This window comes from Homo sapiens, chromosome 10, assembly GCF_000001405.40.
Source record: "Homo sapiens chromosome 10, GRCh38.p14 Primary Assembly".
NCBI classification, from domain to species: Eukaryota; Metazoa; Chordata; class Mammalia; order Primates; family Hominidae; genus Homo; species Homo sapiens.
Window position 1 is genome coordinate 66,273,327 of NC_000010.11, and position 17,283 is coordinate 66,290,609.

The following is a 17,283-nucleotide window of genomic DNA, read 5'->3' on the forward strand; positions in this document are numbered from 1 at the left end:
GCAGGACAGAATGGAACAGCATGAGGTTTCATCACACTACTCAGAAGAGTGCACGATTTAAAACTTATAAATTGTTTAACTCTGGAATTTCTTATTTAATATTATCAGACAGTGGTTGACCACAGATAAGTGAAACCATGAAAATCAAAACCATGAATAAGGGGATGTCTACTTCTCTATAACATGAAACAACAACAACAAAATGACATGACAGAATACAGCTGATGAATTTCAACATTCTATAAACCTTAAAAATTGAGTTTCAAAACATACCATAATCAAAGGCGAGGCTAAAATTTAATTTTACGTGTTGAACAAATAATGCAAAAATATCAAAAGGAATGTAAAAACTCCCTTGCAACCTTTGGAGAAGGGTGGGTTCTGGTAATTAAACAACTTTATTTGAAAAGCATCAGGGCATGAATATAAAATTTGGAAATTAAAACAAAAAAACAAGAGTTTGATCCAGAAAAGAAAGGGTGAGAAAAAGAGTACCTGGATGAATGGCAAGCCATGAGGGTGAAAAGAAGAGTAGAGGAGGGTGGAGAGTACAGCCTGGGACCCTAGACTGTGAATAGAAAGGGTTAGCAGAAGTCATTCTAGGTGGTCGTGTAGCTCCAGGAACCTCGAAGAAAAGACAATTCTAATATTCAAATATTTGGGATGATTAGATGTATAAAGGAAAACTAATAAAAAGGTGAGTGGATTCTTGGAAAAGCCAGGCAGGATTTTCGTAAAGGCTAAAACAAAATCTCTAAGGCAAGGTTAGTAAACTTTTTCTGTAAAGGGTCAGGTAGTAAATATTTTAAGCTTTGTGAGCCATTATAGTCTCCTCATAACTCCTCAACCTTGCCATTGTAGCACAGAGTCATAGATATAAACCAATGGCTGAGTCACGTTTCAATATGATTTATGGACAGTAAAATTAGAATTTTATACCATTTTCATGAGTCACAATATCATATTCTTCTTTTGAATTTTTTCAACCATTTAAAAACATTAAAACCATTCTTAGGCCACAGGCCATACAAAACATATAGTGGATCAAACGTGACCCAAAGGCCAAAATATGCCACCTGCTGATCTAAAATAGTAAATAATGATTCACATATATGAGAAATAAAAAATAAAAGAGAACCTCCATACATTAGAAATGTTTGGCAAACAGTCACTTATAAAGTAGAAAGGTATTATTAATTTTATAATATTTGAGATATCAGCATTTTTAATAGTCCATGCAAGTTTTTCTAATTAGCCCTAATTTGTAATTTGGTATGATTTTATCTATTTAAAATTAGCTATTTTCTGAGGTGTTGGCTATGGAGTTGATTATTTTTTAATGAACTTTATTAATATCTAATTTACATGCAACTTTAAATGCAGTTTGATGAGTTTTGGCAAACGTATCCTCCAATGTAACCACCTCAAATGATCGGTTTTCATAAAAGAGTCTGCTGAGAATTTAAGACAGTGATAAATCAATCTGTAAGTCAATCTGGGAATAACTGACATCTTAATATTGAATCTCCAACTTCAGGAATATGATCAATCCCTTCAGATATTTAGGTGTTTTTAATTTTTTTAATGTTGTATTATAATTTTCAGAGTATAGATATTATATTTGTTTTGTTAAAATTATTACCGCTTATTTTATAATTTTGGATGCTGTGATATAGTCTACTTTATAAATAATATTTTCTAATTGTTAGTTGCTACTACATTGAAATACATATTTTGAGTTTCATTGTATCATTGTATTTCTCTATTGTCCATGTCTTATTTAATTTGCATTTTTTTTCCTTCTTTTTGGAGATGGAATTTTGCTCTGTCACCCAGTCTGGAGTGCAATGGCATGATCTCAGCTCACTGCAACCTCTGCCTCCCAGGTTCAAGCAATTCTCCTGCCTCAACCTCCTGAGAAACTGGGACTACAGGCACGCACCATCATGCCCAGCTAATTTTTTGTATTTTAGTAGAGATGAGGCTTCATCATGTTGGCCAGGCTGTTCTTGAACTCCTGAGCTCAGGCAATCCGCCCACCTTGGCCTCCCAAACAGGCGTGAGCCACTGAACTTGGCCCTAATTTGCATTTGAAGCATGGACAGTCTCATTTTTTTCATCATCTTGGGAAACACTGTTCAGTCCTTTACTTTTACATACAATGATACTTAAAAGTAGAAATTCAGTAGTGTTCTTCCATTTTCCCCTGCAGGGAAGAAACTGATGACATCATGTAAAGTAAAAATATAAATGGTAACATGTACAGCTGAGACTTGAACTCAGGTCTTCTGATTTTACACAATATTCTTTCATTATTGGACCATTTCCAAACTTAATTCCAGAGAATTGTAATTGGATAAGATAACATTCTACATTGGTTAGTGACTATCTGAAACTGTAAAAGTCTTTCCCTTTAGCAGTTTGAGTATGAAACTTCAAATAGCCAGAAGCTCAGCCTGGAAGACACATAAAGAAAAGATGTCTACAAGGCCACCAAGAAAAAAAAAATGTTAAGGAAGAAAATGACAGAAATTTATAGAAGTTGTGACACTGCAGGTAATCTCAATTGAGAAAGTTATATTTAATTCCAGGAAAAGCCATAAATCTGTTCATTCCTGTAGGTGAAATAGAATCAGACCCAAAGATTGGATTGTTATATAAGCTGATATTTTATATTGGACTGTGTCCCAATTCTAGAAGCCATGTAAATGATTCATGTAAAAACAATTAATGTAAACTGGGCCATGTAAATTTATCTTATTTTTCTTTGTTTCCTCAAAAATTAACCTTCATCAAGTCAGATATGCAAAATATGTTCCTATTCCCTGATATATAGAGTTAGAAAACTGACACAGAAAATGCAAACTTGAGTTATGGACCTGAAAATCTACACACTTGGCTTTGGAAAGTATCTCTATATTTTTGAAGCGCCTTTGATAAGGCACATATGAAAATTCACAAACAAAACATGTGAAATCTACATTCTGAATGCCCGTTATAGGAAAAATTTTACCTGAATCTTGTTTCTTTTTGTGAGGATACTTCACTGCGGGCCACTTATACTACCCTCTCTCTCAATTCAATTATGTACTCTTTTAAAATTTCCTCCATTTGTGGTTAAATGTCTTTTACCAAAAAAAGATGAACATTGAGAGTTCAGTTCTCATTTATGTTTTAAGGGGTCTATAAAAATTATGTGCAGAATTATAATACTACCTTAAATTAATATAGGTTCAAAAGCATAATTTGCATTTAACAGTCTATCATTTAGATACCTGATGTTAATAAGCATAAGTATCCTCTTATTTAAACATTGCCTTATAAAAGAAGAGATTTCTTGATTTAGGACTTTGCCCTTCATGTTGCTCTACAAGCATGCTTATGTAGTTAATATTCGTCAAGATATGCAAAAATATTAATTAGCTTCAGTAGGTCTAGTAAGTACTAACTCTATGTGGTAATAATAGTAGTAGTAGCTATCTTCTTATTATAGCCTATTGTTTATTAAGCATTTCATTTCTATTAACTCATGTAAGCATAATAATCTTTTGAAGTAGGTTTAATACCATGTCTATCTTACAAAGGATGAAATTGAGGCTAAGTAAGATTTGTTTCTTGCTTTAGTTTTAACCATTATATTATGCACTCTTAATAGTTGTATAATTTACACATGTATATTAAATATCAAACAGATCAAAATATTTAATACTGCTTATTCTCTGAGTGTGCTAAGTATGATAGTCTATAACCTCACTTGTCTACACACTGAGTCCAGTGGAAATAGCAATACTAAATGTCACAGTATTTAGTGACATTCTAAATATCTTAGAATTTTAAACAACTGCTAGCATAATTATTGATCAAAACAAATAGTAAAGACATAATCATATTTTTATAAAACCCTATAAAATGCCAAGTTCTGATCTTGAGTTAGTATTTTATTGTTTCAAAGGCACTGAAGAGTATTCATAAAAATTTAGACATAAAATGGGATTCTGATACACTTACAAATATCCTCAATAGCATAGCCTATCCCTCCCTGAGCTTGTATAATTACACATTTATTGCTTTAATGTTGACACTTTTTAGATACCTTGAAGAAAGGATCAAATACTTTGCAGTTCTAAGGCCAGAATATTGGCCAACATTAAATTTGACCTTGTAAAAAGAAGATTATACCAGATCAAGTTTATTCTCTTCTGTGAAAAAGGGACAGTCTTTAAGAAAAAAACGGATAGATTTTCATTTACTTGCACCTAAGTGAGAATTTATTTTTATGCTATAACCCAGTTAGCGATTAAGTCCATAAGTTTATGGATCATTTTCCAAGGAATCCCTGTAGAAGTCGTGTAGAGGTTCCCCTAGAGGCTGCTTAGGGAACTGGGGGTATAGAGATAGAGACGATGACCCTCTGGGTATTCCTCCCTGGTTTCAAGTACAGCAGCTCTGATTTTATTTGCTTTATCTTTTTGACCATAAAGTGTACTTAAAGAAATAATATATCTGCCTTAAAACTCAGAAAACACTCTTTCAAACCATGTACTTAGAGACATGTTCTCAGTTGCATGGAACATCAGATACTAAAGGTTCTTAACACTAATGCTCTTAACTGAATCTCTCTAGCAGTGATTACAGTCAGATAAAGGACCAATATAATTTAATGTTTTATTAGTTATTTAGTTGAAGAAGCTAAGACTCTACATTTCATGTTTCTGATTGATACTAACTTGATAAATTCAACAACCAAACCAGAAAACAATCTGATAAATCATATGAAGAATCATATACAGTGTAATAGGATTAGGACTTAAAAACAAGAACAGAACAAATCAAAATAAAGGATGCATACATAGGCATACAAGATAAAAAAAAGGAAAAGGAAGTCAACCTCTATCCAATAAATATAATGTTTAAATGGAAAAAAATATAGGCTAATAGCAGTTGGCTATATTGGTAGAAATAACATAAGAACAAGTCTTCTAATTTATTTGACATTGGACAGGCACTAATTTGAATGTATTCTTGATAGTCTCTTTTGAGAAGTTTGTTGAAAATTAAATAAAGACTAGTGAAGAACACAAAATACTAAATTTTTCTTATGAGAAAAAGTTAACAGAAATGGAAGTATTTATCTTGAAAAAGAGATGACTATGGGAGAAAATTACTGCTCTCAAAGGCTATTAATAATTACAATAAATTGTTCTCCTGCCCTACAGAGGACCACTGTATATGAGGAATATGTAAAAATAATGGCAAGATAATTTGATTTGCTATAAGTAAGCTATCTTGATAATGAGGAAATGTAAAAATACTGGAACATCTAACTGGGAGAAGCTATAAGATGTTTTTTTCCATCCCTAGATAGCTTTAGTAAGAAGAAAAATGCATTCCGTACCCTGGTTCCCCTGTGCTATCTCACTGGTTTATATTCTCAAATATCCACTCAGGAATAGTGAAAATGGAGAGGTTTCACTCTGGCAAGACTATATCCTGAAGTTCATGTGCCTTCTTTACACTTTTAATGTTTCTTTTATGGATTCATCTACCTCTCAGCTTTGGGTTATTACTAGTCCACTAATCCACAGAGGTAAGGCCTAAAAATTTTGCAACAAGAAAATTGGTAAAGTTTCTTGCTGCCCAGACATAGTCATTGGTACAGGGCCACATTTTCTAATCACTTAGAAATAGTTGTAGGTTGCTCACAAGTATTTATCCTGAGGTTTCTCTTTGATATGGTAATTGGTTTGCTTTCAGGTTTTCCCAAGCCTCAGTGTACTAGATTCTTTGTCTTGACACCTTTAGACTTTGTCTTACAAGCTCTTCCACAGCATCCTGCTGCCCTGCCAGACTCCGTAATATTTATTGGCCCTTTTCTTTACAAGGTCCACAAATGACTTATGGACTGCTCAGTATAGCCAGTGACATTCAGGCCTATCAGATATTAATACTACTGATGCTCCACTCATATATTCTCAGCACTTCTATATCCATCTTACAGACTTACTAACAGTTAAGTCCAGAGGCTTAAAAATTGAATTCTATTCATACTTAAAAATTATATTCACCAGTCCCACTGAATCTTCCTACAGCAAGCACCTGCTACCCTGCCTGAGAATTACTTTCTTTGGCCACAAAAGCTTGATTGGCCCTGAACATGAGGTTCAGGTGACACCTCTGAGGGTAGCTTTTCACCCAGGATGAATAGGTGGCTAAATATCCAGTTTGTTCATGTCAGGTAAGATAATTCTGAAGTGCTGAGGTGCATTCTGCAGTACTACCCAGAGTTTAACAGCAGGATCAAGCCCCAAGCCCCAGTTGCCTGCAGTGACCCATAATTACACCTTCTTGGTTTTCTTCCCCTCTCTGCCTCACTTTGTCTCACTTTCTCTTAAATAGACTATTGATAACACAAATCCTTACTTCAGAGTCTGTCTTCAGGTGAATCCACTTAAGGTATCTCCATATCTTTACATATGCATTTTCCAAAGAATGTGCATTTTTTGGTAACATTTAAAAGAACATTTTACATTAATAATTGAGGGAAAACAATCCTGGTTTCTGTATATACAGTGTGCCTGCAACAAATTGTGCTCTCACGCCTGGGAAGGTGGAATATATGTCCCCAAACAGACAACTCCCAGACTGGGACCCTTGAAGTGTTTGTTGTTGCCAGCAACTCCAAGTGAGATTTCTTGCAGAACACTCTGTGATTTTATGATCTAGGATGAGAGGGTTTGGCCATAAAATACCACGTTTTCCTATCAATTCCACTACAGTGATAAGAAAGATTCTTTCCTTTTTGTTCAACAAAAATAAAAAAGCAAATTACTTTATGTATTTTTCTTTGGCTTCTGATCATGCTAAGAGACACCTCAACAAATCCTGCACCCAACAAATCCTATCTTTTCTGCACACGCAGCAGTAAAATGCACTCATTTGTGTAAGTTATAACCAAATACATAAGTAAAAGTGTTGTTTGTGACAGTAGATCTGACTTTGGGGATACATATGAACTTCTAAAGTTTTAATAGATTTCAGCATTGACATTACAGCATAGAAATAAAGCATTTCTTGCAGTCATCCCAGGCATTCCAGATGGTGAAGAACATTGCAATAATTCAATGGAAGGAAAAGCAAACTTACCCGAATCATCATGACTGAACATCTGATATCATGAATTGTATCATAGATCTTCTTTGAGATGTCCACAAATTGATTATCATCCAACACATTCAATGAGCTTTTGCTTAAGGCTTCCAAGGCAACATTCACTTGTGTTACAAATTCAGGAATTACTGTTAAAATAAAGAATAAGGAGAAGATTGTCCTCTTTGTATTTTTGGATTTATACAGTAGTTTCCAGGAAATGTAGAATTTGGTTTTAAACAAATATTTGATTAATAGATCTTTAATTGTATTTTTTAAATATAGAGATACACAAATTTTAGCAGGATTATCTTGAATCTCTGAAAAGTAAAACGAATCAAAGACAATTAAAGGCATTTTTTTTTTCTAAACCCCAGGCTTCTGGAGAGAAAGGCATTATTATATAAATGTTTTAAAAGATTATCTTTCTCCTTTATATCATCTTTGTTTTTACAAAACCTTGGGACCATACAATCATTTCTCATCCTATTCAATATAAACCACAAGACATTACAAAAAGGAATTGGTGTGTAAAACAGTTGGAATTGTAAACACAAAGATATTTAAAGAAAGAAAGCAATTGAGTTGCTAAACAGAAGAAAATTTAGCTAAAAGTAGTAATTCTGCCTTATAGAAATAATAAAAATATTGTAAACTTCCTTTTAGTAAGATGTTTTCTCTATAATAAAAAAAATTAGTGAAAAGGAATTGGCATTCTCATATGAAAACTATCTTTAAAATAACAAAACACTGACTGACTATAGGGATGCTTCTATCAGTAAGCCAATCCATGGATTATCTTTTTAAATTAAGGCTTCAAAATAGTTTCAAATAAAAACGCTTCTTCAATTTTACTTTTAAGGTTAATGATATTAACAGTTATTATCTCTTCACTAGGCTCAAGGTACTTTTCTAAGTGTTCAATGTGATTCAAATCTTAACCCCAGTATTAACTGAGTATTAATAGTTTAACAACTAGGACACAGAGAAATCAAGACTCTTCCACAGATTCATTCTGTTAATGTGTAATTAGAGATGTGAACTCAGAGTCCCAAAATGCAGTTTTTGGGACTTTACACTTTACACTCAAACTAATCTACTATATCATAGTGAGGAAGCCTCTTGCCCATATGAAGATGTCGGGTAAAAAGATTAATTTTTAGAAGAAATAATTATAAACCTGGAAGATAGAAATATTTTGACTGGTATAAAAATATCAATAAATGTTATTTTTCTACATTTAAGTTGTATCTGCTTGTATGGCATACCATCTCTTGCAATTCTGCCTGCCATGTTATTGATATGAGGAAATTTTGATGATATACATGGGCACTCTTTTTATCTGGTCCTTTCTTTCCTCTAGCTGCCAAAATGTATCACTTATACCCTACTTCTGAGCCACCATATCTGCTGACATTATCCACTGTGCTCCTATTCTCTGTCTATTCTCTAGGCACATTGTCTAATAAAAGGTGGCTACTAGCTGCATATAGCTATTAAAAATTAAATTCATTAGCCTCAAATTTTAAATTCAATTCCTTAGTCATACTCATCCCATTTCAACTGCTTAACACATACATGTGACTAGTGATTACCATTTTGAAGAGTGGATATATGGCTATCATCAGGGTAACTTTTGGGATAACAGAAACTTCTATTGGGTCATACCACTTTGCACTGAGAAACCTTCAAATCACAGTCTCCCTTTCAGCGGACGGAATAATAAAGCAAGAGGGAGAGCAAACTCATACCACTTTGCCTAGGAGAAACAATCTCAAACCACAATTCTCTTATATATGGATGTGACTCTCAAAGTATATCTCTAATCTAGACCTTTCTCCTTAATTTCAGAACTGTATATCCAACTGACAATGGCAAAATTCTGCCTGAATCTTTTATAACATCTCAAACATATTCTATCTAAATCTAAATACATTTCTTTCTACCCAGGAAACCTAATTTTCCTTTACCATATTCTATGTTGGTGCTGAGTCATTCATGAAAAAAACCCAGGTGTTTTATCTGACCTCCTATACTTCTTTATTCCTTACATCCAAATACCTACTAAGTGCCATCTGCTCTACTATGTAAATATATCCCAAATCCATTGAGAATTTTTAGCCCCACTGTCTCTATTCATCATCATCTACTATTTCCATCCACAGCATAGTTCTTCCCATGTCTAAATTCTGCTCATTCTCAGGTTCATTTTAAGTATAATCTTATGAATGGCACCTGCTCTTAGCATTAAGTATTATAGTATCTCTCAAATGATGGACACTCAATAAGTTGTTTTATGAACACATCATGTTAATACAGTGTTTACAAGTTTTCAATTGTTCCTTGAAGCTTTTCTTTGTTTATATCCTAAGTGCATAGGTTGGCATGCAGTAAATAAATGATCGAATGAATTAAGTGATTAAATGAATGAATGAATTAATTAATTAATATGTAAAATCAAGCAAAGAGTAGGTACAATGAAACATGTCCAGCTTGCATTTAAATGTGATTTTGGTTTTGTTAACAACTGAAAAGCTCCAAAAATATATTTATGCAGGCTTATAGGAACATTCAAATCTGCTTAATGAGTTAATCATTACTTTTGTAGTGTTAAAAGAGGAGGGAACATCTAAGAAAATGTGTCCAGTTATTTCACATTTCCTTCAGGTTCTGGAGTAGACAGCAAACCAACCGTCAAAACTACTACTCTAAAGAACAGGACAAAATGGCTTCTAGCCTCTGTGATATGCTCTATTCACTCCAAAGACATAGTTAAGTAAAAAGAGATATGTCCTCAAAACCTGTAGGGACCTGTCGGCTACATAACTTTATTCATAGTCATCCCCACTAAAAAATGCTTTTTCTCATATACCAAACAAGTGTGCAATACAGTAATAATTTAATTCTGTCTATTAATACTTTCAATCTGCTATTATTGATACAGTTCCCACCATCTTCCTATGTAGATTTTGGCAAAAAAAGAAAAATTTAAAGTCATGTAAAGATCTGTTTTTCACTGCCCTGTGAAGTAACTGCAAGAAAGATTTAAGGAATCTTACAAAAAAATACAACACAGCCTTTTCATTAGTGCAAAATGATTTCATTTTAACTCCTCTAAGGGCCTTTTACTAATAAATTAATATTAGCTTCAATTAAAATAAAATCTTTCAGAAGCAAATGTTTAATTTCTGAAGTACAGATGGAAACTACTACTTTCTCACTCTAACAACATAAATGAACTATTCAAAGCTGATATGTAATTCATTTCTCATTTCATTAGCTTAAACATCAGCTGTGGGTGTACTTTACTTACACTATGGACATATGGTTGCTTGGATCAAACTAGGAGTAAATTTTTTTAATGCTTTCAAGAAAATACAAAATGAGTATAAATAAGTAATCAGTTTATGGTAATTTAGGAAGAATAGCAAATTGACAAGCCTGTCTTTACTCCATAATCTACCTAGGTTTTCAGAAAATGAGGTTTAGACATTAATATACAATCATGCTATAGAATTATTGATCAAAGAGAGGGATACCTTAAACACATCCATTCTAATCAATGGAAATGCCAGGTAGGATAAGCTGTTCTGAACTTTGGAGTGTAGATTTATCAAACAAAGGCGGCCTTTTGGTCAACACCCCGGCGACTTCAAAGTATCTTGTCTATTTTACACAGCCAAATTCAGAACCAGTTCTGAACTCTTTTGCAGCCTATACTTTCTCTGCCTACTTTATTCAGAATAGACAGAATAATAGCTACCATTCTCACTCATCTTGGCACTGTGCTAAGCATTTTAGATGCATGTCTCATAATCCTCACGGAAGCCCTGTAAGGCAGGAACTATTACTATCCTGATTTACCTATGAGGAAACTGAGGTCACATAGTTAATAAGAGATTGGCTGGTAATTGAGAATATAGAGCCAGCTCTCTGAACCCTAAATCTGCACTGCTTTCTTTTGATAAGTAAAGTCCATGGGGTTTCTGAATTGCTGCTCTCCTGGGGGAATTCATGATAATTTTCTGACAATGCAGTTAACAGACCTACACAGCCAAGTTCTCCTAGGCCTTGAGCTTCTGTCTGGTAGTAGCCCAAAAATATTTCATCCCTTCTTAATCCTTGATAAATTTATTATGTGCATTTGAAAGTAGGTGAGGATACATTATTATGGAATTAAATAGGTCAGAAAAGAATTCAGACTCATTACAATAATGATCTAAAAATGATATCACCAAATTGTTTTCTACCATTAATAAAGCCCAGATTAAAATATTTCTAATTATACCATTACCTTTGAAAATTACTGGTGGTAAAGAAATTTGCCTTTGAAAGCTCACATAATGCTAAGTCATCATTTCTTTAGGTTATGTTAAGTAACTGGGAGAGAATTAATAATACTAGAAAGTGGCATTAAGCATATAAATGACTTCTACAAATACCACTTTATACTCTTCTTTTTTTCATTTATTCAATAAATGCTAATTATTGTGGTTCATATATATTTAATATTTAGGGAGCCAATATTATGTATCAAGAATATGTTTGGTACCTCATAGATCATATATCATACAAATCAATGACTAGTAAGGATTTCACCATTTTTCAAATGATATGTCCCAAAGTACTGACCTACTCTGATCCTTTATCACACATCACATGGTTAACAAGAGCAGCACTTTTGACCTCTGTGTTATACTCTACTCTATCTTTCAAGAATATCTGGAATATCTTCAAAAAGTAAAAAATAAAATACTAGAGAGAAAGGACTTAGATATAGCTTCATGAAGCTGATACATTATGTTTTCCCCCTCTGGCAGAGTAGGTTTTCTACATATGAAACGCTAATCATTTAATTAGCCTGAGTGTCCACCTTTGAGTCTCTCCAGTGACTTAGAAACTCATCTTCTTTCCCTGTAGCTTAATTTAAAAAATCTTCATATGTCTACATAATGGGTTAATATTAATAAATAATATTTCTGATTTAATTATATTAAAAGTGTATCCAATGAATTTTTAATATGATGAAGATTAAGCTCTTTCATGCTTTTCCTCACATCATTTTCTAATTTGTTTACATCACAGTAATCATTTACACAAATGTGACTACTTAAATATTCAAAGTTGGACCTGAACCAAGTAATGTTCTATGATGACCTTTGTTCTTTTATGTACTACTTTATAAATTTTATTTATTTTAAATTGTTAATAAATTTTATTTTTTTAAATTGCTTGGTTTTCTTTGCATTTCTCAGTAAGAATTCTCAAATGTTTAAATTATCAATACTATTTTTATTTATGTTATGTTAATTAACTGGGAGAGAATTAATAGTAGAAAGTGGCATTAAGCATATGAATAAGAAGTTCGTGCAACTGTTTTGGTTCATGCAAATAGAATCATACTGCATATACTTTTTGTATCAACTTTCACTAAACATTAAATTTTTTTCTATGTAAGTTGTATATGGAATTATTCATTCTCATTGCTGTATAGCATGTCATTATACTAAAATGTATTTATCCAGTCTATGGTTGATGGGCATTTGCATAATGTTTAGTTTGGGACTATAATATATATGGTGCTATGAATATCCTAGTAGATGTTTTTTGGTGAATATATGTGTACATTTTTAGGGAATATACATATCAGTAGACTTGCTGGGCCATAGTATATCCATATATTTCACATTAGTAAACATCAACAATATCCTAAGTGGTTGGAAAAATTTTTACCCCTATCAACAATGCCTAAATATTCTAGTTGCTCTGTATCTTCCCTAATATTTGGCACATACCATCTTTTACTTTTTAGCTTTCTGCAGAGTATATTCTCTTGTTCCCTTTTAATATCTCTTCCAGGGATCTGGTTTCTGCTAGTTAAGACTAGGGATTACTTTGATTTTTTAAAAAATCTACTCCTGCATCTTGAGTTTAGACTGTTAAATCTTCCTCTTTTAGAATCACTCACCATCCTATTGCTCAAGATCAAATCTTAATTTCTTCACTTTCTACCATTCAGAAAAACAGTTACAACAGGGAAAAAGTTAAAGAAAAATAGAAAGGTAAAAGGGCTCCAAGGTCTGTAGTGTTAGCAAAATGCTGCTCAGTACTCAGAGGGTATCCTGAACTAGAGGAACAGGGAAAGAAGTCTAGAGTAAAAAGGTGCAGAGGTTTAAAAGGTACAGAGGTTTATAGGGTGGGATCACATCTAGTAGGAGAAATGTATCTTCCTTTGACCAGTGGTGTTGAATGAAGGTGGTCCTTCACATATTGCTGGGGATTCCTTGGCTGAAAATAAATAGAATTGATCTTACCTCTACAAACTTCAACTCTCTTTGCACAGTTGTCTATAATTATGTGTCAGAGTAGAACCATTTTTCCAACCTTGTCTATCTGGTATCTTTCTGCCCATTCTTCAGATTCAGATTATTGTTTATTTATTTACTTTTATAAATTTATTTTTTATTGATACATAATAGATGTACATATTTGAGGGTACATATGATAACTTAATACCTTCATGTAATTTGAAATCAGATTCAGTTTAAACATAAGCTTCTCTGCGAAACTTCCCTCAATCAGCACCCCCACACTTGCCTCCAAGTATATTAGGAAATCCTGTCTCTTGGACACGCTAATGCCTGAAATATACGTTTATTAAAGCACCTGTGTCTTAGCCAGGCATGGTGGCATGTGCCTGTAGTTTCTACTACTTGGAAGGCTGAAGCAAGAGGATCACTTGAGCCAAGGAGTTCAAGGCTTCATTGAGCTATGATCACACCACTGCAGTTCAGCCTGGGTAACAGAATGAGAGCCCCTTGCCTCTGCCCTACCTTTTTGTAAAGCTCCTATGTCTCTTACTTTACTGTATGTGTTTTCTTGTACTCAGCCACTTCTAAAATCCTGACAGAAAGCTCTCAAAGTATAAACTCTGTCAGGTCACTTTGTTTCCTCAGGAAAGTAGTAGGTAGTAGAGTAAGAATTCAAAATTAGGCACTCAGACTCAGAGCCTGTGCCCATAGCCACTATGTTCTATTGCTTGGATGTAAGAATAACCACCCTGAGACATACCCACAAAACATTGCAGGACACTTAGGATAAAGAGAAGAGCTACATCTTTAAGAGAGAAAAGATTATCAGCAAAATATTAAAATCAGATTGGCATTAGACTTTTCATGAGAAAGGCTAGATACCAAAGGAAAAAACATAAAATAATGCCTTAATTCTAAGAAAAATTTATTTTAAACTTGAAATTCAATATCCAACCAATCCATCAGTTAAGTGAATGATGGCATTATTTCAGACATTCAAGTACACAGAATATTTAATTTCTATTAACTGTCAGGAAGACACTTGGCACACATACTCTTAAAACAAGAGGTGAATCCAAAAGATCAAAACGTGGGGCTGAGGAAATAGTGGAGTTGGAAAAGCAGTATAAGGAATACCCAGAGAGTATTGAGACAATATGTAAACATGTGATATATTTGAGAGCCAGGGTTCTCACTATGTAAACAGGGAGGTACTGCTAAGGAATGACAAACTGCTGTGGTAAGACAAAGATGAACCCCATGGGACTGGACTGAACTGAAGATGTTGGCTTGAACTCATAATTTTATATGCAGATATAAACATAAATTGTATATACAGATATATATGTGTATTATTTTTGTGCAAGAATGAAGGAGAAATAAGAAAACACATCTTAATTTGCCTATCTTCACACACATTTTTAAAAAAGATTCACATTAAGGATAAAGGAATAAGAAGACTTGTTATATACAAGGAATCTTAAGAGTAAGGTAGAAGGGATATGAGAAGATAGATTTGTCTCAGAGTAGTTTTTGTACATTTTTGACTTCTGTAAACTTTTTAAGATTCTACAATAAAAAAAATAAAATTCAATCAACAAGGGTAGGGAGTTGGGGAGAGGAAACCTAACACCAAATGCAAATAGCAATAAATTAATGAATGAATATGTTTAAAATTTTTAACGTGTGCACCACTGAGTTGCTCATACTTCACTATTTTCTAAAGTTGTGTTGTTTAATACAGTGGCCACCAGATATACGCTGCTATTTAACCTTATATTAAAATACTATAAATGAATACAATTAAACATTTATTTCCTTAGTCACTCTAGCCCACCACATATGGCTACCATATTAGATAGTGTAGATATAGCTCAGTTCTATCATCACAAAAAGTTCTATTGGACAGCACTATTTCAAATATTTGCAAATCAATTATTTGTGAAGCACCTGTCCTCTGCAGGGCACTGGTTTAATGTTGGATGAGTGATATCGGTATCATCTTTGATTCTGTGTATATCTCACTACTATGAGTTAAAAAACCCTAAAGAAACCCTCTCTGGCACCTCAAAATGCCCTGGGCTATTGCAAAATTGTATTTTAGCTCCTATCTAATGATACAATTCTTAGCTTTATTGGTCAACATGTATCTTCCTTGGTATAAATATAGATGACTACTTAACAACAAAAAACATAGTTTTCCTTGTAGTTTGAGAAATTATAGATTATCTCTTTGCCATATTAATTGTGTTAATCCCTTGAAGTTTATGGGATTCTACAGCTGATGAAATTGTACTAATTGCAATATATGTTAACAGTGTCTGGAATTTCAGTTCCAATTTGTTACTTTCATTCTAACAAAACTGTTAATTAATTTTAAGGAGTTGTAATACTACAGTAAAAGATTATGGATTCAATCTCATTGATAGTTGTGATTTTATTTTCCGCATTAGCTGTATTTCCCATGGAAGCATAAGAGCTTCCTATATGCAAGGGGTACAAGGTTAAGATTTTTAAAGAACAGGCCAGGCGTGGTGGCTCATGCCTGTAATCCCAGCACTTTGGAAACAAACAAGAAAGATTTTTAAAGAATAAATTTATTTTTCCTGTATTTGATATTCATTTATTTTGAATCCTCCTACTATTACACCCAATATATTAACTTCGGGGAGCCCAAATTAATACGGCTTAAACATATAAGCATGTTTAACTCATGTAACATACTTTTCTAGAAATCTGAATAGAAATTGATTGTAAACTTTTTGGCTGTGAGAGTTTGGTGAACTGAATTATTACTTTTAATAATATTTGTTGAATGAATGAAGAAAACTCCTGTTTTAAATGCAGTAGGGGAGCTTACTATTTAAGGCAACTGAAGTAACTTCTATCATAAATATTTACCTCCTAATTTCTTTTTCTTTTTAAAGCTGAATTTCCACATGTTGGTTTACAGACACTATTTTAAACAAGTCTATACAAGAAAATGAAGTTTTATAACCATGCTAAGCATGTTTAAAGTAGTTATAGAAATCCAAAAACTTTCTGAATCTATGTAAACTATGATTATGAAACATCAGAAAACAAAATAAGCTAAAGTTCCCTTCTATAAAATGAAAAAGTTGGTTTAGTTCTTCTCCTCTAGCATAGTTACTCTCTGATTCCATAAGTTTCTTCACAATCATACATGCATTGTATTTATTTTCTCTGGCTATATCTGGTTACAAGCAGAAATTCATTTGAAAAGAATAAATGGAAGAATGAGAGGGTGGGTAGATGACTGGATGGCTAGGTGGGTGGATAAAAGGAAAGAAGGATAGTAGTAGGAGAAGTTGGGTGGATAGATGCATAGATAATACGATGTGTGAATAAAGAGAAGTAGAGATTTATTTTTATAACTCTCCTACATCTCCCCCAAAAGTGAATTAAAAGCAGCTTTTAAAAAAGAGTCAAGTGTGCAATAAGCTTTAAAACAAGGCCAACAGGAGCCACATAATCAAAGTTAGGGAGCAGAAATATAATTACATTAAAAATCCTAGAGTTAAGGTACAGCAATTAAGTATAAAATTGATTGTTTGAGGTCCAGGCAAAAATGAAGCAATGGGTTATATGGTTCATATTACCTACTAAAAGGAACCTAAGCACTTTGAAATTTTCAAATGAAAATGATAATTTCTATTTTCATCAGGATATACTTGAAAAGACTTTTCCTTCTCAATGCTGTATACTAAGAGGAATAAATGTATCATGTATTTATTTATGTTATTGGTTATTAAATAATAAAATGAACAATAGTCTTTACAAATGATGTTAAGAAAATGCAAAAGCA

The 17,283-nt window shown here is 33.1% G+C and overlaps 1 protein-coding gene across 8 annotated transcripts in view; it reads right to left on the reverse strand.

Annotated features, from left to right (window-relative positions):
• The window catches only part of CTNNA3 (catenin alpha 3), a 1,851,072-nt gene that overhangs the window by 360,804 nt on the left and 1,472,985 nt on the right, over window positions 1-17,283 (reverse strand). For all 8 annotated transcript variants that reach the window (XM_047425124.1, NM_013266.4, XM_017016152.2 and 5 more), the window contains one exon: window positions 7,144-7,295. In XM_047425124.1, coding sequence (XP_047281080.1) covers window positions 7,144-7,295 — 152 coding nt within the window. The remainder of the gene's footprint in view (window positions 1-7,143; window positions 7,296-17,283) is intronic.